Source organism: Homo sapiens, chromosome 3 (assembly GCF_000001405.40).
Source record: "Homo sapiens chromosome 3, GRCh38.p14 Primary Assembly".
NCBI lineage: Eukaryota > Metazoa > Chordata > Mammalia > Primates > Hominidae > Homo > Homo sapiens.
Genome location: NC_000003.12, coordinates 161083883 through 161111692, shown reverse-complemented (window position 1 = coordinate 161111692; position 27810 = coordinate 161083883). Strand labels below are relative to the sequence as shown.

Here is a 27810-nt window from a genome sequence, read left to right as displayed (position 1 = left end):
CTCCTTCTCCATTGCTATTCTTTTCTTTACACAGGTCCAAATTTCTGACCTCTATTATTTTCCTTCTCTCTAAAGGACTTTTTTTTTTTTAACATTTCTTCCAAAGCAGTCCACTGGAAACAAATTCCCTCAATTTTTTTTTTTTTTTTTTTTTTTTTTTTACTTTTGAAGGATAATTTTACATGTTGCAGAATTCCAGTTTGTTTGCTTCTCTCAACACTTTAAATATTTCACTCTACTCTTTTTTTGCTTGCATGGTTTCCGAGGAAAAACCAGGTGTAATTCTTATCCTTGCTCCTCTATAGATAAGGTGGGTTTTATTTCACTGACTTCTTTCAGAATTTTCTTTTATCTTTGATTTTTTTGTAGTTTGAATACATTATGCTTAGGTGTGGGTGTTTTTTACATTTATTCTGCTTGGTGTTCTCTCAGCTTTCTGGACTTGTGGTTTGCTGTCTGACATTAATTTAGGGGAAATTTTGTCATTATTGTTTCAAATATTTCTTTTGTTTCTTTCTCTTTTTCTTCTCTTGGTTATTCCCATTACACATGTTGCGCCTTTTGTAGTTGAGCCACAGCTCTTGTATATTCTGTTCTGGGTAGGTTTTCTTTTTTTTCAGTCTTTTTTCTGTTTTTCAGTTTTGGCAGTTTCTATTGAGATGGCTTCATGTTCAGAGATTTTTTCCTTCAGCTGTGTCCAGTCTACTAAGACCATCAAAGGCATTCTTCATTTCTGCTACAGTGCTTTTGATCTCTACCATCTTTTTTGGTACCTTATTAAATTATCTATCTCTCTGCTTACATTACCTATTGGTCTTTTCATGCTATCTACTTTATGTGTTAAAGCTCTTAGTAAATTAATCATAGTTATTTTAAATTAGTGGTCTAATACCAACATCTCTACCATATCTTGAATTTGGTTCTGATGCTTGTACTGTCTCTTCAAACTGTGTTTTTCCTTTTAGTATGCCTCGTAATTTTTTCTTGATAACTGGACATAATGTACTGGGTTAAAGAAATTGCTGTGATGTTCCTTTAGTAATGTGATGGTAAGGTGTATGTATAGGTGGGGGAGCATTCTATAGTCCTATGATTAGGTCTCAGTCTTTTAGTGAGCCTGTGCCTCTGGATCATGAACTTCACAAGTGCCTCTCAGTTCTTTACTTCTATACTCACCCCTAACATGTTAGGTAGGATAGGATAGCTAGAATGGGCTGGATTTGGGTATTTCCCTTCTCATATGTGGAAGTCTAGAGGGAATGGAGTTCAGTATTTCCCTTCCTCCAGGTCAGTTAGGCTCTGATAAAACCCCAGCAGGCTAGGTTCCACTTAGCTACTTTCTTCTGAGGGCAGCTCTTGTTAAGAACAGAATGTTCTGGCACATTTCAAAATGGTTTCTTTTCTCCTCCCTCCGCCGGAAGCACTGGGGGGTTTTTCTCTGATATTCACTGTGTGAACCTGGTAGAACTCCAGGAGTTAAAACACACTAAAAGTATGGGTTCCACCCACCATGACTAGGTCCCCCTGAAGTTTTTAACTCTCAGACTTGCCAACACAGAACTTCTAGCAATTCATCATTTAACAGTTTAGGTTTTCCTACCCCAGCACTGGTTCCTGTAGAGATTTCAGCTCATGGTTTTCTGCTCTGATAAGTTATAATTCTCTGTATTTTCTGTTTGTTTTGTTGTTTGTTTTTATTTGTCCAGCTCAAAATGTCATTTTTTTTCTTTTCTTTTAATTCTGTAATTCTCTGTATCTACCTGTCTGTCTCTCCAGTTTGGGAAATGCAGTTTGCCCCATAACCTCACTTTTCCAAAAAATATACAAAGAGTTAAGTATTTTTAAGTTTGTTTAGCTTTTTACTTGTTATTAGGATGGAATGGTGACTTCTAAGGTCTTACATGCTGGACTGAAAACCAGAAGTCTGAATGAGTTTTGAAGGATGAAAGGGATTCCTATACATCTGCATTGTTCAACATGGTGGCCACTTACTCACATGTAGCTACTGAAACTTAAACTAAGTAAAATTTAAAATTCAGTTCCTCAGTCTCATTAGCTACATTTCGAGTATTCAATAGCTACATGTCATTAGTTTCTACAATATTAGAAAACACCTAAGAGCATTTTTATCATTGCAGAAAGTTCTATTGAACAGTGCAGCTCTAGACTCTTGCTACTCAAATTGCAGCCTAACAACCAGCAGTATCCTATTACCAATTGGTGGGTTGTCTGTTTTTGTTTTTGTCTTGAGACAAGGTCTTGCTCTGTCACCCAGGCTGGAGTGCAGTGGTGCAATCACAGCTCACTGCAGCCTTGACCTCCCAAGCTCAAGCAATCCTCCCAGCTCAGCCTCCTGAGTAGCTGGGACTACAGATGCACGCCCCCATGCCAGGCTAATTTTTGTATTTTTAGTAGAGGCAGGGTTTTGCTATGTTGCCCAGGTTGGTCTTGAACTCAGGAGCTCAAGCTATCTGCCCATCTCAGCCTCCCAAAGTGCTGAGATTACAGGCATGAGCCACCGTGCCCTGCACAGTTGGTTTGTTAATAGGCAGAATCTCCAGCCCTATCCAGGACCTAATGAATCAGAATCTGCTTTTAATAAGATTCTCCAGTGATTCCTATGCACATTTAGGTTTGAGAAGCATTACTATAGTGGTTGTGGGACTTGGATGAGTCAGATGGGTGTGGTTCTGGGATGGAGGGACTCAGAGAATAAAACTGTACTCTGAGGTAACAGTGGGCACAATGACAGTGCATGAAAATGCATGCATGGCAGGAGCTGGTAGGCTGAGGTAGATTACAAAAGGTTCTGTAGCCCTTTGGATTGTGCCCTGTGGGAAGTCACTGACCAATTTAAAATAGGAATGCCTGACAAGATCTGGGTTTGAGGAAGACAGCCTAGTGGTAATCTGAAGGACCTGATGGGCAACTTGGAAGTCAAGGGAGCAGACAGAAAGCTCTGATACAAACCTAAATGAAGAATGAGGCTTTCTTGGCTGCAGGCATCTCAGAGAGGAGAGGGAGAAAGAGAGAGAATCCACAGGGACTTGGTGACTGACTGGACATGTGGAATAGAAAGAAGGATGAAGTGAGATTTGAACTTGGATGAGTGATAAATGGAGCTGCTTTATACAAATCAGGAATCCAGGAGAATAAGCACATTTTATGGGAAGGTACTGAGGTTGGCCTAGACATGTTAAGTTTGAGGTATCTCTGAGACATTTGTTCGCCAGTTTCCCTACCTGCCAAATGATAGTAATGACAGTATCCACCTCCACAGTATTGGTGTATTAATAATCAACTGATAAAGTGTATGTGAATATACTGTATTAATGTTTAAGTGTCACATACGTGTTACTAGCATGACTCTCGCATGTATTTGTAATCTGAAGGACAGAGGCAGAAGGCTGAAGATATTGTCTACATTTGCACAAAGGCAGTGTCATATATCAAATTCAGTAAGACAGGAAGTGCTGGAGGAAAATGCTGAAGAGAATGAAAGATGTGGATAGTCAAGTAAGAAATATAACAAATCATCAATTAGAAATACACCCCAGCTGCTTCTAAGCATAATAAATTGTCAAAGCTTTCCATCAAGTGGAAGAAGACAGTCACAGTCAGATTTTGGAGAAGGCACATATTGAAAAATTCAACTGAACAATTAGTAGAAGCATTTCCTGTAGATTAGAAACCCTGCCCAGAACCACATCTGCCTTGAAACATATATAGCACATATTACGAAAGAACTGTTGTTACATTTCAATTTTCATCTGCAGACAAATTTAAGGTTAAAATGTAATATAGCCTTAAAGGTGACTGCTAGTTCAAACTTATCATTAGGCATATGGCTTCCTAACTCTTGATTATATGTTCGGAAAATTGCTAGGAAGGTTTCCATCTTATTGGTCAGATGGTATGTGAGTGTGACATATAACTCTTTGATGTGTGCTTTTCTTCTGGAATTTGTAGATAGTGCAGGATACTTAAATTTATTTTGCTTTTGTGAAGTAAGCAAATAACCTGACTTTAAACCTCAGTAAGGCTATTCAGCTAAATTCCATATATATCTATTGAAGATATATTACAGCAAGGCAGTGCGGTAGGGCCTGTCTCTTCCCTCAGGTTGCTGATAATCTCATGGCAGAGACATCTGTAAACAAGTTCTGAGGCAAGTGAGTGCTCACAGAATTATAAACAGGTTTGGGTAGTTTGGGGAGAGAAGTGAGTAAGAACAATAGCTGCCATCAGATATCATAAATTTGAAGTTTGATGATTTACTTTCAAGAATAAGGTTCCTGCCACTTAGTTTAGCTAGTTCTGGCCACATTATCTGCAGCTCCTTCCATCAAGAGGCAGAGACTATTTGCCTGCCCCTTGGATTTGGAGAGGCCTCACAATTTGCTTTGATTTGTAGAATTTGGCATATATGATCTTGTGTGACTCCCAAGTCTAGGCCTTAAGAAATTTTACAGCTTCTGCCTGCTCTCTTCTGGATGTTGCCCACAGACCAAAAACATAGCCTACTGCAGGATAAGAGGCCACATGGAGCCAACAGCAGACACATGAGTGAGGCCACCTTGGACTTTCAGCTTAGCTGATTCTCCAGTTCAGGGATCAGCAAACTACAGCCTGTAGGCCATAGCCTGCTTCTGTATGGCCCTTGAGCTATGAATAGCTTTGGGTTTTTAATAGTTTATAAAAATTAAATAAAAAAGAATATGTGACAGAGACAAAGTCTAAAATATTTACTATCTGATCCTGTTTTACAGAAAACTTGGCCAACCCCTGCTACAGCTGAATGTATCTATACGAGTGAGCCAAATCAAAACCAGAGAGGAACCACATAACCAACCTTCAGAATTATGAGAAATATTAAATTGACATTTTTGCAAGCAACTATATTTTGGGAGAGTTCGATCTGCAGCAATAGATGACTCAATCACAAGCTGATAAATGCTACACAAAGAAAAAGGAGACTGCTTCAAAGGAAATAATCTCATAAAGGTTTTGGGCCTTTTTGTCTCACTTACTTCATTTAGGAGAATTTCTTACCCCAATCTGTTGTCCATGGCTCTGCTTTGCATTCCAGGGAAGTTTTGGCAGCTATGAGCACATATACCTGCTGGTTACTCAAAGGACATTCAAAACATTTTAAAAATGAGTATTGAAATACAACTTTTCTAAAATTTTAAGAAACGGAATTTGTAAAATATAGTATTAATGCCCTAAAGCATTCTTCCAAATAAGAGGTCTATTTTTTCAGCATATTAATCTATCTGCAGTGAAACCTGTCTGGTTTTGTTATTAATGGACCTCCTTGACTTAGTGAGGTGAACTGTCAGCCCAGGTAGGGTGAAGAATGGCTGTGATAAAGGCGTGCAGCAGGGCAGCAATCACTTTACCCTCTGCAAAGGACACAGCTACCTGCCAAGGCTGGAACCAGGAAAACAATCTCAACCATAATTTAGATCTGATTATTATAATTTAGATCTGATTATTTATGCAGTGTCAACTAAGTCCTTGACTTACACTGCTACTATCTAAACTTACTTTTGTTGTATATCCATTTTGATCTCTATATTCACCCCTATTATTTTCAGAGAACCTTCAAACTATCCTAAGTAATTTTGCAGAAAAAGGCTATAAGGAAGAAGCAGTCAGGCCAAAGAGTCAGTAAACAAAAAGAAATGGTGGGCCACGTTTAGTCTTGATGCAAATGTGTGGGTTACAATCAGGGGTGGTGCTCATGGCTGAGCTTGGTAGTGGTTAAATACATGATCCAGACCCACTTGATTTTGAGGAAAGGACCAGTACAATCAATACTGCACATCTTGGTAAAAGGAGTTTGAGGAGATGGATCTGGGAGTTTAGGTCAGCTATGCTCAGGTGTACAAAAGCAACTCCCTGGGACTCCCATCCATACACAGGCCATTGAAACCTGACGTGTCTCTCTTACCCCCATTCCATTCCCCATCGATTCCGGAAGAAGAACTGGCATTTCTTCTGAGACAGCAAAGAACTCCTCCTAAGATTTCCTCTTTCCTAATTAGTTCTGTATGAAGTTTAACAAGAAAATCCCTCCAGGGCCGCCTCGAGGCCATGCACTCACGCAGTTTGGAAAGACGACCAGGGAAAAAGGATCTCAAACAAAAATTCTAGCTCGACGTCTGCCACTAAGTTGTCTAATTTTGGCCAGCATCAACTAAAGGCATACATAACACGGCCGTGCTCGGAATGCAAGGTGACCGCGAGGACCCAGAGGGCGCGCCATGCGAGCTCACAGGGCTGGGGGCCGCCTGGGCCCGCGCGTGCAGCCAGGGGCTTCCGGCCGCGGCCCTGGCGCGTGGTCTGCGCGCGCCCGGCCGTGCGTGCGGATGCGGGGAGGCTGCGTGTGTGCGCAGGGAGAGAACGCCGGCCACCTTCCCGCTTCCGAGCTGGGTGCGCGCCGAGCACAGGAGGTGAGTGAGAAGGGCGGCCCTGCAGGGTCTCCGAGGCGGTTGAGTCCTGCCACTGGGTGGAGGGTATAGCCACCGGACCCGCCTTTCCCGGAACGCGCCGTCCTCGGAAACGCCTAGACCCCGGCAGCTAGGCCGGGAGGCACCGCCCACTCCTCTAGAGCGGAGCGTGGCCCAGGTTGAGCCGCCGCACCGTGGGTCTCGGGTCTCGGTGACGAGCAGCTGCCCGCCTCCGGTGAGCGCGGGAGAAGGGGCCCAGTGGGGCAGTGGGCGACGCGGAGGGCCCAGGCCCAGGCCGCGGCCGCGCCGCATCCGCTGGTTGTCCACCTTGCCTTGCCCCAGGGTGCAATACCTGCCTTGCGTCGCCCGTGCCGCTCCAGCCACCGTCAAATCCGGGTAGCGACCCGGGGCGTTTGCAGCGGTGCCGAGGAAGAGGACGGGAACGGTGTTACGGTATTGGTGGGCCCCTAACAGGCCTGCGGCGAACGCTTTCCCGGAGCGCTAGGGAAGGGCCCCGGCGCAGGGATGTCGGAGGGATTGGGAAGGAATGTGAAACTAAGTGGGGAATGTGGAGAACGGGCGGAGAGAGAAGGAAATCCCACGGGGCTAGGGCTACAGGATTCCTACAGGCAGTGTTAAGGAACATACAGGGCGTTTTAAAAAGATTCCTAGAGGTGCAACGGAGTCTCACTTTTCCAAGCAGTAAGGAATGATGCCATCCTCAAGTACGGGTAGTCTTTGAATTCAGTATCCGTTCGCCTTCTTAATGTTGGATTTAGGAGGGAGATTTGCAGGGCTTTCATGATTTTGTTTCCTCTGCGTTTTGCACAGATTGCCTGCGTTTAGGAGGTGGCTGCGTTGTGGGAAAAGCTATCAAGGAAGAAATTGCCAAACCATGTCTTTTTTTCTGTTTTCAGAGGTAAGGAAAATTTGGGTTTGCAGTGTTCAACTGGGAACAAGTTTTTTAGCTTCTCCCAGGAGGCTTAAGCAAAAGAAGGGCGCTGAATTTGTGCTCTTAGTATGCATGTGTCGATGCCTGATAAAAGCACAAATTACTGAACGCGTATCAGTCTGGAGAACAGAATCGTTTATTACTAACAGATAAGAGACTATGACTTTTTTCCCCTCATAGACTAAAATGTTCGTTCAAATGAATGGCCATTGGATAACTCCAGACCTGAAAATAAACACTGTTGTCAAAACAGCATCCAGGCCGGGCGCGGTGGCTCACGCCAGTAATTCCAGCACTTTGGGAGGCCGAGGCGGGCAGATCACCTCAGGTCGGGAGTTCGAGATCGGCTTGGCCAACGTGGTGAAACCCCGTCTCTACTAAATATACAAAATTAGCTGGGTGTGGTGGCACACACCTGAAATCCCAGTTCCTCGGGGGGCTGAGGCAGGAGAATTGCTCGAACCCGGGAGGCAGAGGTTGCAGTGAGCCGAGATTGTGCCATTGCACTCCAGCCTGGGCAACAGAGTGAGACTCCATCTCCAAAACAAACAAAAAACAAAAAAACAGTGTCCAAGTATAATTTCAGATTAGAGCATGAGGTGATTTGAAAGCGAGAAGAGAGGATCAAGGCTTTTCCAAAAATGAAAAAAGTGTTGATATGTAATAAATGGCTCCAAAAACAACTTGCTAAGTATACAACATTGATTTTAGATGTCATAATTCCTAATGTTATGACTCATATATATTTTTTTCTGTTCTTCTGTTCAGTAGTTCACAACAGATCTGAGTGTTTTAATTAAGCATGGAATACAGAAAACAACAAAAAACTTAAGCTTTAATTTCATCTGGAATTCCACAGGTAAGTTCATCTACTTTTAACTTATAAATTATCCTAATTGGTTAAAAATGCCCATAATAATGCCCTTTACAAGGTTTTAAGTATCGTTGATGCAGCCACGAAGTTTGTTGTATATTCTAGTACGATTCTTTCATCAGAGGATTTGAAGAAATTCAAGAGTGAAGCTCTACTAAGCCATTTTGGATAATATATTTTTTTCTTTTTTCTTGCTTGAAAAATAGAGACAAGGCCACTTTATGTTTCCCAGGCTGGACTGGAACCCCTGGGCTCAAATGATCCTCCTACCTAAGCCTGCAGAGTAGCGAGGACTTCAGGTGTGTGCCACCTCACCCGGCTCTAATAATATATATATTTTCTAAAAAATTGAATTATTAAAATACCATGGTTCTTCAGGAAAACCCAATAACTATAAAAAGTTAATTTGGTGGGTCATATTCAACTTCAAGTTCTGACTCAATTCCCTTTATGCCTAAGAAAATGCTCCATTGAGTACTTTTTCTCTTTCCCCTTTGGATGGATGATGTCTCTTCTTCTTGTGCCCAGCCTCCAGCTTTGTTCCATCCACCATTGGATGATGCAGGTAGAACCCTCTTTTGGGAAATGTCTTTGTCCCTTTCACAACTATATCATGTCCAGACCAAAGAAGCTTTTAACAGGATGGATCATGGTTGCTCGCTATGGGGTAAACTCCCACTGTGTGGTAGATAGCCACATGGATGGGGTCAAGCACGTGGGATCAAACAGGATACTCTTAATGACCTTGCACAACAGATACATTCAAAAGTTACAGTTCATTTAACAGCAGGCTGTTTGGCAAACATCTCTCTTGGGACTATGGACAATGCTTTTATACTAATAAAAAATTGTATATTATAAATACTGATTTGCTTTTGTTACCAGTCCTTTTGGCATATTGTGAATTAGAGGCTAGGGGAAGATGAGAGGATGAGCTAGAAATACGGCAGTTTGTAGGGGGCGCATCAGCATGGGGAAGGAAGATGAAGCCACAGAACATCTGTAGGGTAGGGCCCCAAGTGCTGGAAGGTTGGGAGATTTGGCTGGGGAGATAACCTGCACTCCTTGAATCTCTGAGACATTAAGGAACTAAAAGAAAGCTAGAGTAGGTTATCGGTTTCCCACCCCATGTATTTCTGACTCTGAACACAGGTAGGTAGGTAGGATCTCATTGTCTGTTGCTTCTCTTTCTGTGTCTGTTATCTGGAACTATATTTAGCTATTTTGTTTCCAGAGTTTGTTTTCAAGAATGGAGTTACCACTTTCTATGCAAAAGCAGAATGGAGTAGCTGAGACAGACCCTAGGGCCCTCAAAGAAGATATTTACTATCTGCCTTTTATGGGGAAAAAAGTTTGCCCGCTTCTGGGATAGAACATGGATTTCTGCTAAACTCAAGCTGTGCATTTTGAATAGTCTCATAAAAGTTAGAATACACAAGTCCTCCTGTTAAAACATTTCACAAGCCTGCAGCCACCTATTCCTGCAGCATGTCATAGGGCTCAAACCATATCTCATATCTGGAATTGTATTTGGCTGCTATTTTGGTTACAGACTTTGTCGTTGAGAATGGAGTTACGCACTTTCTAAGATAAAAAATTACCGTCCAGTTTTATCTCTTAGTATTAAATAGTTCCCTTCTCCATACTGATAACAGGCTCTAAATTTATGCCTCTATTGGGCACTAACACATTCTGAGAGTGCAAACTCAGTTCCCTGCTGTGGATTTTGGTCACTAGTTTAGAAACATTTGAGCTGGAAAGCCTCCCCCATGTTCTCTAGGTGGGCCTCACTCATGATGTTTGGTGTGAAATGTGTCGTTGTGAGTCTTCCACCACGCTCTGCATTGAGTGTCGGCAACTTGAGGACAGGGCTTGTCTGTCTGCTTCCCCACTGCTGCCCCAACCTCTAACACAGGTCCAGAACACTGAATGAAGGAATGAAATACCCTCAGATGACTAAAGCAAAGGTAATTGATGGCTTAACTAAGAAGAATAGTAAAGAGCTGTAATATTCTCAATTTAGGGTAGTAATGGGAAGAAATGTTAACTGCAGCAGCTCCCCGATACTCTTCCTCCAGTGGATAAAGCTCTTTGTAACAAAACAGACACAGAAAGCCCAGCTTTCAGGGCAGTCTTGCTGCTGTTCTGCCTGACTTTGTGATCTTTGCTCTGCTCCAGTTTTCTTAGCTCCCTGGACCCGGTTGACCTGTTGGCTCTTCCCGCTGGCTGCTCTATCACGTGGTGCTCTCCGACTACTCACCCCGAGTGTAAAGGTGTGTCTGCTTCTGCTGCATTCTTTGCTCCCTGCCCAGGAATCTCAGGAGGCTGTGAGATTAGATGTGAGGTTGGTCTCTCCTGGGGCACTGTGCCCTGGCAGAAGGAGCTTGGCATTTGGAGTTGAAGGGCTTGAGTTTGGATTCCATGTCTTCCTCTACCTGGGCTGCACTGTTCCCTGGAAAATGGGATTGATGTTAACACAGATTTTACAGTGTCATGAAATGTGCTTTGTAATTTGTAGTTAGAAGCACTATAAACTTGTATAGTGCCCAGAAGTTCACTATGCCTTTAAAAAAAAAAACAGCCCTGCTAAAAATCCTAACATGTATTGCAAATTATTAAGAGTGATTTTTATGTTCTTATTGGAATATGCAGATAGGGCAGAAGCAAAAAGAAAATTGCGGCTAAATTTTCCTTCTAAAGTCCTGCTGCTTTTGTTTGCTCCTCATTTTTCTCAGCCCAAACCCAGAAATCCCTAAAAGATTCTGCATGCCACAACCCAGAAGTCTATCAGAGATTCCCATATACAGGGATTGTTTTGCCTACAAGAAAGTAGTTTGTATAACAGTATATATAATATGTCTTACTTACATGTGTCTTTAAAAACTCAGATGTCTTATACCTCAGCACACTGAATGAAGCAGCAGGCTTCCCTTTTAATGAAGCTTTAATGAAAGACATTCTCCCATACATCTTAGAAGATACCTGAGGGTGGTGGTGCTACAACCAGCAGAGTTTCAAGGGCAGAATTGGGAAATGGTAATGAGTATAGGTATTTATACTCACTGTCTACCTAAAACTGTGTGACAACTACAGAGAGTGGTGCTCGAGGTGGGCTTTTTTCTTAAACTCAGTAAATACTTCAAATTCATTCTTAAAAATTGAACAATTTAAAATATGCCAAAATGAAACCTTTTCTATGAACTACATTTTAAACATCAATAACAAAGTTGTGGAACCTTGTAGTTAGAAGGGACCTTCGACGTTTGTTAGAATAACACTATCTTTGGTTTCTCATTTGCCTTCTGGAGTGATACTTACATATTTTATTATTCAAAATAATTTGAAAGTATCTACCATGGCACTTCTAAGCTTTTCTTGTCTCCAGAACAGAACATCCCCAGATCCTTCAGCCACATGTCATGCAATCCTTATGGGAGATGATAAACCCTTCACCAAATGAGTTACCCTCTTCTAACTTGTTAGTGACCCTTTCAAAATGGAACTCATATGGGGCTATGGAATTATGACCCCCTTTGCCCAGATGCTTTTCCAGTTTCTTGAACCTAGGAGTGTATTAGGGGTGTGTGTGTGTGTGTGTGTGTTAGAGAAGGGGGACACAATCTAGTATTCACTTGTAGAGTTTCTGTTAGCACTGCCATTCATTCACAAGTACTTGGGAGTGCTTCCTATGTGCCAGGCACTATGCTAGGTGCTGGGGACACAGTGTGCAAGAATGAACATCATCCCTCTGCTGGTAGGGCCAGATGGTGCCTGAGAGGTATCCTAGCCCAATGTCCTAAAATTCTGTTGAGAAATAACTCCTCAAATTCAATGACTTGGCCTCCCTGCCAGAACTAGAATCCTTGTTTCCTGACTGCCCAGTTATTCCTTTACTTCACCACCTTTTATCATATTGGACTCATACTCAGCTAAACTGTAAGGTCTGTTTAGGCTGCTGTTAAAATGGCCCCCCATCCTGCCCTTGTGCAGCTGGTTTTTCGAACTCTGACATAGGACAATAAATGTGTTCCCATCAAATTTCATCTTGCTGTCTTTAGCTTTTTCTCACCTGTTAAAACCTTTTGGATTGTAATTACATCTTTTAATGAATTTGTCATTTTTTTTCCTGCCTACAAAATTGAATAAGCCCACGTTCTTTAATTAGAAATATGAAATGAGAAAAGGCTAAAGATAGGCCTGTGATTTTTTTCCCCAGTTTGACAAAGATGCTCCAGTCAACCTTAGAACATCAGCAGGAGGACAAGTCTCTGGCACTTTTGTGGAACACTATTCCCAGAGTCCAGCACAAGCCCAAGAAATGTTTCTTGAACAAATGACTGCATGAAAAATACACTGGCTATGATGGATCAGCCAATTTTTAAGCCATCTAGCTACTATTATTACTCACATTTTCCCATTTTGTTCAGAAGGACTTTAAGTGTCCAGCTCTCTTTACAGAGAAGCTTGATTCTTAGGTGTTACCTGCGAGTTACCTTGATCTTCTATTGAAGAACCCTATTGAAAATGGGGCTTAGGATAGTCAAACAGAGCATTCTCAGTGAATCTCTTCTAGCTCCTGATGGTCATTGTGTTTGTGTCATAAGTGTTCACTAATGTTTACAGAGTCTCAGCAACTTATTCAGGGTTATTTGGAATACAGATGCATTAACATTAGTCCCTTCAGGAATTTCTCCATTGCCAAAAAGTGAACTTGTTGGAGAGGACTTGTTGAAAACTGGGTGAGCATGATTTGCATGGAAATTGGACTAAACTTCCCTTTCTTTAAAGTTCCTGGTTTAGCCACTCGAATAGCTGGCATTACAGGCATGCACCAGTATGCCTGGCTAATTTTTGTGTTTTTAGTAGAGATGAGGTTTCACCATGTTGCCAGGCTGCTCTTGAACTCCTGACCTCAAGCAGTCTGCCAGCCTTGGCCTCCCAAAGTGCTGGGATTACAGGCATGAGCCACCATGCCCGGCCAAAAGTTTCTCGTTGAGCTCTGACAACTCTTCACCTCTGAAGAAGAACAGAGGTGCTGCACTGTGAAAGTATGAAGATACCAGGCCAATAGGATAAAACAAGGCAGGAGGGAAGCTTTTGTAGTGCAGTGGCTACAGACTCCACTTGGGGTGGTGAATATACCTGAGTTTTTAGTGCTGCTTTGCAGGCTCTGACACCCTGACTCCTGAACAGGTGTCCAAATTTCAAGCTGGTTAACTGAAAGATAAATGTTATAATATTGGTGCCTACTTCATAAGATTGCGGCAGTCATCAAACGAATGGAAATATAAAACATACTTACTACAGTGCCAGGACCAAGCAAGGACTATTGCTAAAATTTTGGAGAGAGGGGAGTATGAAGAAATTGGATAGAGTAGAAAGCAGGTTCTTTTTAATGTGAGCCTATTTACCCTGACAGAGTAAAGCATATTTCATTTTTAAGTGTTATCAAATTAAGCAGATATACCAATTGCTATTCATTCATTCAGTAAATAAAATTTCACTTCCTATTATATGTCCAGCTGTATGCTCCAAAGTAAGGAGAAAAATGTAAACCATATCAAATATGCACAATCCTCAAAGTAGCCTGACACCACTTGAATATCACACGCACTACAGCTGGAAAAATTTCTTGTATTTTGCAGCTCTCCTCCAGCTGCTACAAGTGCCTATGGTGAGACTTTTGACAGTGTGAGTGGTTCCCAGAAAAAATGATGTTCAGTTGTAGAAAGACCATGGGGCAGAAAGAAGGATCCCAGGAGAGGGGAGCACATGTGCAGAGGCGGAACCCAGAAATGTGCGTTTGGCTTTGTGGACCTCTACCAGTAGTTCTTTGGGGCTCGTATTTGCAGGATAGCAGAACATCAGGCACTGGGAGATTCTAGGAAAACAGAAACCTTGGACTCTAGGAGAAGACTTACTGATTTGGAAGGAGAAGGTGGATCCACTAAGATTTATTTGCATGTTTAATTGTATTACAGAGCATGTCATGCCATGTAAGACACATTTGGGAGTTAGGAGCAAGGTTTGTAAAGGAAATGTAGACAAATAATATATGTAGAGGAAGCATATAGTGTGGACTCTAATAATAACAGCAATACCATCTACTTAGCCCTTACTGTGTGCCAGCCCCATCCTAGATGTTTAGCGCGTATTATTTCATGTAGCTCTGGCAATAAACCCGCAAAGAAGGTATTATTGCTCCCATTTTACAGATAAGGTAACTGAAGCTTAAAAAGGTTGAGTAATTTGCTCAAGTGGATTTCATTGCTTCTCAAACTTCAGTATGTCCACAAGCCACCTGTTAAAAATGTTTCTGATTCACTAGGTCTAGGGTGGGGCCTGGGGCTTTGTATTCCTAATACACTCCTAGGTGGTGCCCATGCACTTTGAGTGGTGAGGGTCTAGGCATCACATTCAAATCACCTGGGAGCTTTAAAAATACTGCCACCTGGTGCTCGCTTTGGCAGCACGTATACTAAAATTACTGCCACCTGAGCCCTGCCACCCTCTGAAACTCTGATTTAGTTGGCCTGGGATCCCGCTTGGCTTCCAGTATTTTTCAAGTTCTCCAGGAGATTATAATGTGCCGCAAAGTGAGAACCACTGGGTTAAAGAAGAGGGGAAGAAAAAGTAGTGGTCAGATGGCACTGGTTGTGTTTATTTCTAATATAATCAGGGGAGGGCCTCAAACACAAAGCAGCAGTGAGTTGTGAAAATAATTAGATGTTTAATTGACAAGTCTAATTGAATGGTAGAGTTTTATATTGCTTTATGAGTTAATGTGTTTAGTTTGAAAGGGTAGTGGGGGAATTTCCCTCAAAGATGTGAATTGATAGTTATTTTCCCTTTATAAGGAATATACATGATTGGTGTAATGATGATTTGAATTAAACTTAATATGCACAGGACCTTTTTTTAGGCAATTAAGATTTCCACTCCCTTTGCAGTATTTTATGTAGAAGAAAAGTTAGAATGTTGCAAAACTGACAGTAGTTTGGTAATTATCTATAATAGTTAGCATATGGATGATCCTGACTCTAGCGTGCTTGGACCTAAAATTTAACTGAAATTTGTTTCTTGTTTTTTTGGACCTTTTAAAATGCACATGATCAGAATCAGCATAGCCTATTACAATAAGGTTTTGTTATTAGAAGACAGCTGAAGAAAAACATAATCAACAAATTCAGGTTACTTTTGGATTCAGCTTATTCTTAGGAATATTTACTAAGTGGATAAAAGTACATTACCAAATCATTTGCAAAGTATGCAAATATTACAGAGAGCCTACTATGTGTTAGACACTGGACATATAGCAGTGAATAAGTGGGGTCAGGTTTTCCCTCTCTCCAATCTTATATTCTTTTGAAGGGAATAGACAATAAACAAATAGAAATAGATTTTTAAAAGTCTAGACAGGGTTAAATGCTGAGAAGGTGTTAGGTTTAAGTCCCAGCTGAGGTCCAACAAGGTGTTAGGTTTGAGTCCCAGTTGAGGTCCGAGGGGAGTGGGTGGATGGGCGAATTGCTGAAAGAACACTCGGGGGGCTTTAGGCAGGTGAAATGTAGTTTTATTCAGCAGCTTTTTAATCAGCAGCTTCCTCACACTAACTGTTTCTCACAGTTTCTTTATCTTGGCTGTTTGCTTCAGCTTTGTGGCTCCTCTTATGAGCCTGCTCCTGCTGCCCCCAGCCTTGCAGCTGCACTCCCTGGCCTATACTACCAGGGTTAGCAGCTTAATTTTTTCCCTCTGGGCATAAGTCCCCACTTCCCGCCTTCAAGGCAATCCACTCTTCCTTACAGGGGTCAGTAGCATTACTCTCTCTGGGCATTAGTGCACCTCCAAGCCATGTCAAGCCAACCCAAACCCCATGGGCAGCATCAGCAGGGCAGTTATACCTTTTACAAACAATAGCAACTCAAAGCCAAGTATAAACTTACAAAGACAGGTTATCTAACAAGTGAAGTATGCACCTGTGCCCTAAACTTGCTAAGTCACTTTGGCCCAGATATTCGCCTTAGCCTATTCCTTAACCAAAGCACATTCATATACTTTATGGAAGGGAATAATGAGGGATGTGATAGAAAATAAGTGCTGGGGGAACTACTTGAGATAAGGGGTCAGGGAAGGACTCTCCTAAGTGACACTGTGCTGAGATGTGAGGCATGAGAAGGAGCCAGCCTTTCCAACAACCAGCTTTTTGGTTGGAGGGGCAGAGTAAGTGCAGGCTCTGCAAGAGAGGAAAATAGTTGACATATTCAGGGATAAGAATGGGAGTCAGGCCGGGTTTGGTGGCCCACATCTATAATGCCAGCACTTTGGGAGGCTGCGGTGGGAGGATTGCTTGAGTCCAGGAGTTCGAGACCAGCTTGGGTAACATAGCAAGACCCCCATCTCTATATATTTATATATTTTTTAATTAAAAGATTAAAAGAATAAAAAAGAACGGAAGCCATTGTGGTTGAAATAGGATTGGGAGGGAGTAGTTGTAGCAGATGAAAGAGGGGCTTATATAAACCCATGGAGCCAGAAGACTTGACAGATCTTCATAAAAAATGTGAACGTTGTTGCCCGGCATTGTGGCAAATGCCTGTGGTCCTGGCTACTGGGGTGGATCACTTGAGGCCAGGAGTTTGAGTCTGCAGTGCAAAATAATTGTGCCTGTGAATGGCCACTGCTGTCCAGCCTGGGAAACATAGCAAGACACATCTCTAAATTTTTTTTTAATGTTAATATTGTTATTTTTAAGCTTTTATTGTCTCTGTGCTCTTCTGGCATTCCCTAAATTTTCTCTAATGAACATATATTACATTTGAAATTAGAATAATTACTTTTTAAATAATTACATTTGATTTCTTTTTGCAGGAAATAGCCAACATTTTTGCACCCCAGGAAAGAGTTTCAGGTTATTTTGGCTTAAATAATTGTGCCATTGTAGTATCTCTGTTTGTCTGTTTTCCTGGAATCTTTGCATTTAAACACTGATACCTCCATTTATTTTCTAGTGACGTCCAGTATGTTTTTGGTGTTAAATAAAAAGGTGTATATCTGCATGAACAATTAGTTACTGTTCTTGTTAAAAATTTGTATTTCAGGTTTTAAGGGTAGGAATTTTGAGTCTTCCTTGTGAAAATGATAAGGCTGTGATGCTGCCATACTGTTTATATCAAAGTTCAATGGTTGCAAGAAATTAAAACTCAAAGCAGCTCTGGTCAGAAGAGCTCCTTAGCATAGGAAGCATAGTGAGCAGGCAGCACACTCCCTGGGATCTAGCAGCCAAGAATGTGAGATCTGGAGTCTTGTTTGAGTTTGTCTCTACCACTTACAACACTGGAAACTGATAACCTTTTTTATCTTTGGAGGTTTTCTGAGCTTTTCTAGTATTTGAGATGTTTTTTCAGCTGCTGCAGATCAACCCCTAAATCAACAAGTAATTACTGGTGGCTTGCTGTTCACCCAGCATTGCACTAAGTTGGTGGGATAGATAAGATACTGTTTGCTTAATGGAAATTGCTTATAGTTGGCAAATTCATATGTAGTTAATATAAGCACAAGTTTATCTTAAAATTTTTTTTTTTTATCTATGGGGTCTCACTGTTCCCTCAGGTTGGTCTTGAACTCCTGGCCTCCAGCGATCCTCCCGCCTTAGCCTCCTAAAGTCCTGGGATTATAGGTGTGAACCACAGTGCCTGGCCACAAGTTTATCTTTTAGAAAATGGAAATTATTTTTAAGTTATAATTTCTTTCTTGACAGTGATGTGTGGCATTTAAGAAGTCAGTAATAAAATAATAGTGTACTTCCCTGTTGGGGCTTTTCATATTGTTTTCTATTCGTCAATATTGTTGATTCTTCTCTCCGTCCCTCCCCTGGGACATGGGATTTAGAACAGTGTCGGGGTCCTTGTAGCCCACTGCTCAGCTGTCCTAAGGAGGCAGGCCAGCTGCCCTGTGCTCTCACTATCAGGAAATGAGCCAATCCGAGATCTCTGGCCAGTTTGATTTCTATGATACACACATGCTATGAACACAGAGGCCACTTCAATTGAGCCCTTATTTATCTACATGCCTGAGTATCGTTTTAAAAATATTTTTATTGATTGATAAGTGTACATATTTATAAAGTACATGTGATATTTTGATACATGCATAAATGTGTAATGGTCAAATCAGAAATTCAGGATATCTATAACCTCAAAAATTTATCATTTCTTTATGTTGGGAATATTCAGAAACCATTAAGTGCTCTTGGTCCTGGACCAGGCCCTGTGCTGACTGGTTAATCCAAGTTCTTTCCATTAAACCTCACAATAATTAGTTTTGTGATGCCTGATTTATAGCTGAAAAATGAAACTTTTGGCCTGGTGCGGTGGCTCACGTCTGTAATCCCAGCACTTTGGGAGGCCGAGGCGGGTGGATCACAAGGTCAGGAGATCGAGACCATCCTGGCTAACATGGTGAAACCCCATGTCTACTAAAAATACAAAAAATTAGCCGGGCGTGGTGGAGCACCTGTAGTCCCAGCTACTCAGGCGGCTGAGGCAGGAGAATGGTGTGAACCCGGGAGGCGCAGTGAGCCGAGATTGCACCACTGCACTCCAGCCTGGGCGACAGAGCGAGACTCCATCTCAAAAAAAAAAAAAAAAAAAAAGAAAAATGAAACTTTTGAGAAGGTAACTAACATGCCTAAGGTCATACAACTAGTCATTGTTGCAGTCAAGATTTAGGGTGGATTGGCTCTGATATCCAAAGCATTTTTATTATGCTTTTTTCCTGTTTGTTTTAATAAACTTAATATACAAAGAAAACTGTAAATATTAGAGAACACCTATATTTCCATCGCCCTGAATTAGCAGCTGTTAATTACAGTACAGTATTTATGACCAGTGTTTTTTTCCCCCTTTAACCACATGTTCCTTTCATTCTTCCTGCTGATAGGTGTGGTATGTTTTCCTGTAGTCCCATTAGAAAAAAATCATTATTTATACGTAGTTGCTTCTAAAGGTTCATCACTTCTTGTGTGTAGTTTTAGAATTTTTATAAATGATAATTTATACATATATCATTATGTAACTTGTTTATACTCAACGTTTTATTTCTGAGAGTTAAATTGATGTTCTGTATACAAATCCAATTCATTTAGCTATCATATAGGATTCCATTGGAAGACATACCAACTTTTATTTATTATCTTATGGACATATATTTATGGATTTGATTGCTTTCTTGTGATGTTCCTTAGCTTTTCTTTCTATCCTCTGTATTTCTTGTAAAATTTGATTAGATTCCAGTTAAACATTACATTGTATCTCATTAGGAGATACATAATAGGTGTTTGTTCCATCATTTATGATGTTACGATTAATTATTGGGTTAGAATGGTGACACCCTGATCCTCCAATGTAAAGTTTATATTTTTTCAGTTCTTGCAACTAAAAAGTAATCTTCGTGGTGTTACTTTGGCATCATACAGATAGCCAATTGTCCATCAACCTTTTATTTATTATCAAAACTCTGATGTATAATCATCATCAGTAATTTCATGAAAGATTGCAAAATGACAGTTTTCTTATTCTGTCATTCCATCTATAGTAGTCTCTGCTTATCCATGGGGGCTGTGTTCAACAGCCTGTCCCCCAAACATGCCTGAAACCATGATAGTACCACACCCTACCCAAAGAATGCCAAGGTCACCTTTTCACTTAAAGGAAGCACTTTGAGCTTCTCTTTGACCTATCTGAAGTGTCAGCATCCTACTTTTCTGCCTTGGGGCCATTATTAGGTAAAATAAGGGTGACTTGCACACAAGTACTGAGATACCATGACAGTGAATCTGGTAACTGAGGGCTCCTATGTGACTAACAGGTGGGTAGCATATATAGTGTGGATACGCTGGGAAGAGGGAGGATTCATGTTCTACCTGAGACAGAGAAGGATGGTGCGAGATTTTGTCATATTACTCAGAACAGTGCGCGATTTAAAGCTTATGAATTGTTTATTTCTGGAATTTTTCACTTAATATTTCCAGACTGTAGTTGACTGTGGATAACTGAAACTATGGGCCAGGAAACTGCAGGGGTAATTTCTAGACATTTCTAATTGGCATTTTTCTTTTAAAAATTTTTAAATTATTTATTTATTTATTTTTGAAACGGTCACGCTTTGTCACCCAGGCTACAGTGCAGTGGCACAATCACAGCTCACTGCAGCCCGGACCTCCCACACCCAAACCATCCTTCTGCCTCAGCCTCCCGGGTAGCTGGGACCACAGGCTCATGCCACCATGCCTGGCTAATTTTATTATTCTTTTGTAGAGACAGGGTCTCACTATGTTGCCCAGGCTGGTTTTGAACTCCTGGTCTCAAGTGATCCTCCCACCTTAGCCTCCCAAAGCATTAGGATTACAGGTGTGAGCCATGACACCCAGCCTATAAGTGGCATTTTTCTATAAAGAAGAGCTTTTTCTCTTCAATTAGAGCTATTTGCTTCCTCTGAACTATAGATGATTGATTCTTTAAAGCAGGAAATAAAAAATGCTGTCTTTCCTCCATCATCCCAGTAATTTTCAAGTAAGAGATTGGTATAGTAGCTACCGAGTTGAAACATTTTACATTGCTCATGTGCAGTGCAGATATGGTGTTCTCTTTAAATTTATGGATGAAACAAATTGTGTATATAAGGATTTTGAGCTTCTAAACAATTTTTTTTTTTTTTAAAGTAGAGATGGGGTTTCACCGTGTTAGCCAGGATGGTCTTAATCTCCTGACCTCGTGATCCACCCACCTTGGGCTTCTAAACAAATTTTTAAGAAATTTTATGGTTTTTAAATTTTTTAAGTGTTTTCCATATTTTTTGCAATTGATTTATAATTATGCTGTGGTTAGAGAATGTAGCCTGTATTATTGTTTTTAAAATTGTTGAGAAGGCTTGTATTACCTAATATTATTAGTTTTCTTTTTAAATGTGTTATGTTGTCTTAAAAATGAATGTTTCTATTCTTTTTATTGGATGAAAGGTACTAAATGTTTCATTTGATCAAGATTAATAATATTATTTGAAACATTCATATCCTTTTTTATCTGCTTGATGTATCAGTTACTTAGATGTATTAAAAATCTCCCATTAGGATTATAAGTTTTCCCATTTATACCCATACTCTTCAGGTTTTGCTTTATATATTTTGATACTGTGTTTTTATGGTTATAGAGCTTCATGATTGTTAAATTATCTTTTTGGATGGTTTCTTCTTACAGAGCTTTATGATAAAGTATCTTTTTGGATGGTTTCTTCTGTTAGTAATAACATCTCCTTTGTCCCTTATTAATGATGTTTGTTTATTTATTTTGAGACAGTCTTGCTGCTCTGTTGCCCAGGCTGGAGTACAGTGGCAGGATCTCAGCTCACTGCAATCTCCGTCTCTCAGGTTTAAGCAGTTCTCCTGCCTCAGCCTCCCAAGTAGGTGGGACTACAGGTGCGCACCACCATGCCTGGCTAATTTTTGTGTTTTTAGTAGAGATGGGGTTTTGCCATGTTGGCCAGGTTGGTCCTGAACTCCTGACATCAGGTGATCCGCCTGCCTTGGCCTCCCAAAGTTCTGGAATTACAGGCATGAGCCACCATGCCCAGCCTGAGAGTCTTTTTTTTTTAGTAGATAAGTTTACATTTACATTTACCTTAATTAACAGCACATTTATATTTATTCCTGCCATCATCTTTTGCATTTTGTGTTTGCATGCATTTTTTCTTTTTATTTCCCGTTTTCCTACCTTATATTGAATAGACAGATAACTTAATTTGTGTCTTCTATTTCTCAATCAATTTGGAAGATAGTGTTCTATATTTGTTCTTTCAGTGATCAATGTAAAGGTTAATGTACATTCTTAAATGAAGTTTTTAGCAAAATGTGAAGGTTTATTCATATCTCTTTGTTAAAATATACTAAGAATGTTAGCATATTTTACTTTTCCTATGAAACATCTTTTTGTAGCCATCATGTCATTTTTACCTAGTATTTTAGTTACATTTTTTAACCACATGAAAAAATTTTTTGCCCCTCCCTCCTTTTCAGGATAATCTATTTTGACAGTAAGAATCATTTTAGAGAACACAAATAGAATGGAAATGATGCCAAGGGTAGAACCACAGCTGATAATAACAGCTTCTGTTTGTTGAATACCTAACACAGGCCAGAAGTTTTGCATATATTATCACTAATTTGCACTATATTAATATCTTCAATATAGAGACAGGAAACTGAGGCTTCAAGAGATACATAACATACCCATTCATCCTGGTTGGTAAAGGACAGAGCTGGAGAGTGGACTTTGGTGGCTGGCTTTGGAGCCACCTGTGTTGTAGGTGACCTAGTCTGTTCTGGCCAGTTCTTTAGAGTCCGTTCCTTGCTTTTGGACTAGATAGTTTCTCCTCTTTTTGCTGCTGCTTTATTTTATTCATGGGTCCATAAATGATAGACATCATAACCATAGTCACATTCTCACATTTAGAAACTATGGCTTATAGAATGTGCAAAAAATAACTTTTATAATAAGATTTGCCATTTTAAGTTCTTCCCATTATTGAAGAGTAGTAGGGCCCCCATCATCCATATGCAATTATAAATGGCACCTCTTACAACACTTGCCTTCTGTTTTTCCAAAATCTGTTGAAATATGCTGATTTGTTAGAATGAGATATTTGTTGTCATAAATGTACAAGTCGTTAGTGGCTGAGTTGTAAATGGTTCCCTCAAGGGTTGCGTAGTGCCCAGTAGCCAGGTGAGGAGAAAACGTATAAAGGCAGTGTTAATTACTTTCATAATTCTTGCTCTCAAACTATTCCATTTCAGGTTTTTTTCTGGGATTGGCAGTGTATGGCAAGTAAAGGGGATAGGGGAGGATAGGAGGTGGGTGGACAGATCTATATTTTATCCTTTTACAAATGGAGATAGCATATCAAGCCTCAGTGTCCATTGCACTCCTGCTGTAGGCCTCCCTTTGTCTTGCACTTTGACTCCTGAGAGAAAAATTGTTTTTGCCAACAAGGTCATAGAATGTAAGTGGAGAGGCAAGACACATATACGTGGAACCAAACTGGAGAGAGTTTGCTAAAACATTACATTGCGTTGTGTGGGTTAAAATATGGAAAGCATTACATATAGAAAAGATAATTGTGGTGAGACGTAATCAGGGCAGGTAAGAGATGACCAGATGAAGAGGACAAGGAGCCTTGAAATCCTGTTATTTTCATATGTATTAAGAGACAGAGGAGCTGTATGTCCAGAGACCCTAAAGTTGACCCAAGGTAGAACCCTTGGTAGACTAGCCTTCCCATAAGGACATTAATGTCTGTCCTCCATAGTTAATTCCAGCTTTCCAAGAACCCTCCCCCATATAATTGTGGGTAAAAGGGCACCTGCCAGCAGCCTCCTCAGCCCACCCTTCCTCATGTTGTTCATCTGTCCCTTATGCTAAAGTTCCTTAGCATTTGATGTAAACAGTGTGTACTGCACTGTGCTGCCATGTTTATACGTTGTCTTGGGATTTCTTCTTTCTCCCGTCTCCTACTTCCTTTGGTCTCCTTAGTGCCTGGTCTTTGGAAGCAGATGTCCAGTAAATATACATACATGAATGCCCTTAGACTGAAGTCTATGCTCATGGTGCAAGGAAAGCTCTATGGAATCCCGAATTATAAACCACCCTCTGCCTTGAGATCAGGAACAGAGCTGTCACTTCACAATCTGAATGTTCTGTGCCTCCTCTTGTCTCAGCTGGAGCTTCTGTGTAAAAGCAAGTGTTTTAGGAGTTTCCATCCCATGATTCTGATTGGGTGTGTGATTTCTGAAGAGGTTGGAATGGGAAATGTGAAAACTTAATACTAAGGACGGGCCTTTGATTTAAACAGTTGCTATGCAGACTGAGCATTGAGTTTAACCAATGAGGTAAAAGGAGGGGAGAGGTGGTGTTTGGGGCAGGTAAAAGCTGTTTCATAGTCAGTGTTTGAAAACTCAAGAGAGATGATCCTATTTGTGTCTGGAGGACTTGCCTTTCAGGTGAAGAATCTCTGCCTTATCCCACATCAGCAGTCACTAAGAATAGAATAATGATCACTATAGGGTTTTTCTTATCCAGATTTGCTAGAATCCGTATCAGAACACACAGCTGAGAAAGACCCTTCGTTTATTTGGGCATGTGGCTAGTAACATCCCCTTGAATTAAATCCTTCTTTTTTTATAGTTATAAAGAGGAGATACATTTTATTTATTTGTTTTTATGGTAGATTTATTTTTTAACCCATCATTACCCATCTCTTTCTGTCCCTATCATATCTGCACCTAGGATAGAATTATATTTAACAGTAAACTGTTAATTTAGGTAGAGTAGGATAACTACTACAAAATAATCAAAGGATATGTTTTAACCTTGGTCTTGATGTAAGAAGCTAAAATAGATTTTTGGTTATTGGTTTCTATTTGCTTACAGTTAAATGAAGTAGATTCAAGTCAGGATTTTTTGTTTTACTCTGGAGATTCTGTTCTCCTACTCTTTCTCCTTGAGTAGATAGTCAGATGTCTTTTGAAAATGTGTTTTCGGTGTGGAATATTAACCCAATCTTTGATAACTCTTCCAGAACCTTCGGCTCGCGTGCTTCTGAGCTGCTGTGGATGGCCTCGGCTCTCTGGACTGTCCTTCCGAGTAGGATGTCACTGAGATCCCTCAAATGGAGCCTCCTGCTGCTGTCACTCCTGAGTTTCTTTGTGATGTGGTACCTCAGCCTTCCCCACTACAATGTGATAGAACGCGTGAACTGGATGTACTTCTATGAGTATGAGCCGATTTACAGACAAGACTTTCACTTCACACTTCGAGAGCATTCAAACTGCTCTCATCAAAATCCATTTCTGGTCATTCTGGTGACCTCCCACCCTTCAGATGTGAAAGCCAGGCAGGCCATTAGAGTTACTTGGGGTGAAAAAAAGTCTTGGTGGGGATATGAGGTTCTTACATTTTTCTTATTAGGCCAAGAGGCTGAAAAGGAAGACAAAATGTTGGCATTGTCCTTAGAGGATGAACACCTTCTTTATGGTGACATAATCCGACAAGATTTTTTAGACACATATAATAACCTGACCTTGAAAACCATTATGGCATTCAGGTGGGTAACTGAGTTTTGCCCCAATGCCAAGTACGTAATGAAGACAGACACTGATGTTTTCATCAATACTGGCAATTTAGTGAAGTATCTTTTAAACCTAAACCACTCAGAGAAGTTTTTCACAGGTTATCCTCTAATTGATAATTATTCCTATAGAGGATTTTACCAAAAAACCCATATTTCTTACCAGGAGTATCCTTTCAAGGTGTTCCCTCCATACTGCAGTGGGTTGGGTTATATAATGTCCAGAGATTTGGTGCCAAGGATCTATGAAATGATGGGTCACGTAAAACCCATCAAGTTTGAAGATGTTTATGTCGGGATCTGTTTGAATTTATTAAAAGTGAACATTCATATTCCAGAAGACACAAATCTTTTCTTTCTATATAGAATCCATTTGGATGTCTGTCAACTGAGACGTGTGATTGCAGCCCATGGCTTTTCTTCCAAGGAGATCATCACTTTTTGGCAGGTCATGCTAAGGAACACCACATGCCATTATTAACTTCACATTCTACAAAAAGCCTAGAAGGACAGGATACTTTGTGGAAAGTGTTAAATAAAGTAGGTACTGTGGAAAATTCATGGGGAGGTCAGTGTGCTGGCTTACACTGAACTGAAACTCATGAAAAACCCAGACTGGAGACTGGAGGGTTACACTTGTGATTTATTAGTCAGGCCCTTCAAAGATGATATGTGGAGGAATTAAATATAAAGGAATTGGAGGTTTTTGCTAAAGAAATTAATAGGACCAAACAATTTGGACATGTCATTCTGTAGACTAGAATTTCTTAAAAGGGTGTTACTGAGTTATAAGCTCACTAGGCTGTAAAAACAAAACAATGTAGAGTTTTATTTATTGAACAATGTAGTCACTTGAAGGTTTTGTGTATATCTTATGTGGATTACCAATTTAAAAATATATGTAGTTCTGTGTCAAAAAACTTCTTCACTGAAGTTATACTGAACAAAATTTTACCTGTTTTTGGTCATTTATAAAGTACTTCAAGATGTTGCAGTATTTCACAGTTATTATTATTTAAAATTACTTCAACTTTGTGTTTTTAAATGTTTTGACGATTTCAATACAAGATAAAAAGGATAGTGAATCATTCTTTACATGCAAACATTTTCCAGTTACTTAACTGATCAGTTTATTATTGATACATCACTCCATTAATGTAAAGTCATAGGTCATTATTGCATATCAGTAATCTCTTGGACTTTGTTAAATATTTTACTGTGGTAATATAGAGAAGAATTAAAGCAAGAAAATCTGAAGTATTGTCTTGTTTTTAAAAAATACAGTTCCTAGTGTTTTTAGAAGTCACTTAATTTGTCTCATTTTTCCACCTGGAAATTAGGAATAATGTAGAATGCAAGGCAGTAATTTCCTTTTGGAAAGGACTCTGAAGGCAGAAAAGAAGGGAGAGAACCTCATGGGCAGAATATTATAAAAAGAGTGTCATATTCCAGCATTTGAATTGGAAAGAGAAGAGTGAAGATCCAAGTTGCATTATTAATCTGCCCTGTGTTTTTTCCTTTTAACAATCAGTTTGAGCTGCTGCTGTTATGAGTTTCTCATCAAGATGAAAGCCCTAATATGTAAAGTCAAATCCGATTTAAATTTTGTGCTTTTATAGAAAGAAATTTCTTCATAGACGTGGTGATATATCATTTGTTGGACCTGCTAATAGTAGGTCAAAGGGGAGCACTCCTTGCCCCCTGTTCCTGGGTTTATGCAGTTTTCTTTTTAGAGTTTATATAGGGCAAGTGGTTCTTTTTCTCTGAATTACAGGATGGAAAAAGGTCATATCCTTTGTCAGGAAATATAAACTTGAAAGTATGTAGTCAGCTCTTGTAATACTCATATTTATGATTGTCCTATATGAAAAACAACTTCAGTTAAAACTATAATGTGTGATTCTGTATAACAAGGTGATGTCTGTTTCCCAGGGCTCAGACCTAATCCAGTTATAATAAAATCAATTAAATGAAATATTCTATAGAATCGATCTATGCCCTTGTTAATCTCCATCCATATAGGAGTCACGTTCTTTAAGACAGATGGTGGTAGTTATTTTTGTGGCATGGTTAGATTTGACTGGTTTTGCAGAAGATTACAGTTATGTACTGCATAATGACATATACAATAGTGGTCCCATAAAATTATAATGGAGCAGAAAATCTATTGCCTCATGATGTTTTAGCCGTTTTAATGTCATAGCCTAGTGCATTACTCACGTGTCTGTGGAGATGCTGGTGTAAACAAACCTACTACACTGCCAGTTGTATAAAAGTACAGCACATTCAGTTATGTACAGTATGTAATACTGATAATGACAATAAATGACACCGGTTTGTGTATTTACTTTTTATAA

General features: G+C 40.2%; 1 protein-coding gene and 1 long non-coding RNA gene across 50 annotated transcripts, besides 2 other annotated features; one reads left to right on the top strand and one right to left on the bottom strand.

Annotated features, from left to right (window-relative positions):
* LOC124909453 (uncharacterized) lies at positions 1-7012 on the bottom strand. Of its 2 annotated transcripts, none has more exons than XR_007096146.1 (2): positions 6808-7012; positions 1-5129 (listed from the first exon to the last, which is right to left on the bottom strand). It is a non-coding gene; the product is annotated as an uncharacterized LOC124909453 (long non-coding RNA). The 2 variants fall into 2 exon arrangements; XR_007096147.1 differs by having other exon boundaries at positions 1-5122.
* On the top strand, positions 6344-27810 carry B3GALNT1 (beta-1,3-N-acetylgalactosaminyltransferase 1 (Globoside blood group)). 48 transcript variants are annotated; one of them, NM_001038628.2, is made up of 8 exons: positions 6344-6458; positions 6798-6908; positions 7287-7374; positions 8176-8266; positions 8488-8580; positions 10460-10554; positions 21631-21749; positions 24905-27810. In NM_001038628.2, exon 8 carries the CDS (start codon positions 24939-24941, stop codon positions 25932-25934), a length of 996 nt encoding a protein of 331 aa, NP_001033717.1. In that variant the 5' UTR covers positions 6344-6458; positions 6798-6908; positions 7287-7374; positions 8176-8266; positions 8488-8580; positions 10460-10554; positions 21631-21749; positions 24905-24938; the 3' UTR covers positions 25935-27810. The 48 variants fall into 48 exon arrangements, with proteins under 48 accessions (NP_001033717.1, XP_047305089.1, NP_001336060.1 ...); XM_047449133.1 differs by lacking the exon at positions 21631-21749 and adding an exon at positions 10062-10248; NM_001349131.2 differs by lacking the exon at positions 21631-21749 and adding an exon at positions 7588-7735 and having other exon boundaries at positions 8179-8266.
* Positions 6440-6529: a silencer, noted in NCBI's record as "silent region_14864". NCBI's record gives its function as "represses an Ori minimal core promoter by ATAC-STARR-seq in GM12878 lymphoblastoid cells {active_cell/tissue: GM12878}" and the evidence as "EXISTENCE:reporter gene assay evidence [ECO:0000049][PMID:35858748]".
* Positions 6540-6789: a silencer, noted in NCBI's record as "silent region_14863". NCBI's record gives its function as "represses an Ori minimal core promoter by ATAC-STARR-seq in GM12878 lymphoblastoid cells {active_cell/tissue: GM12878}" and the evidence as "EXISTENCE:reporter gene assay evidence [ECO:0000049][PMID:35858748]".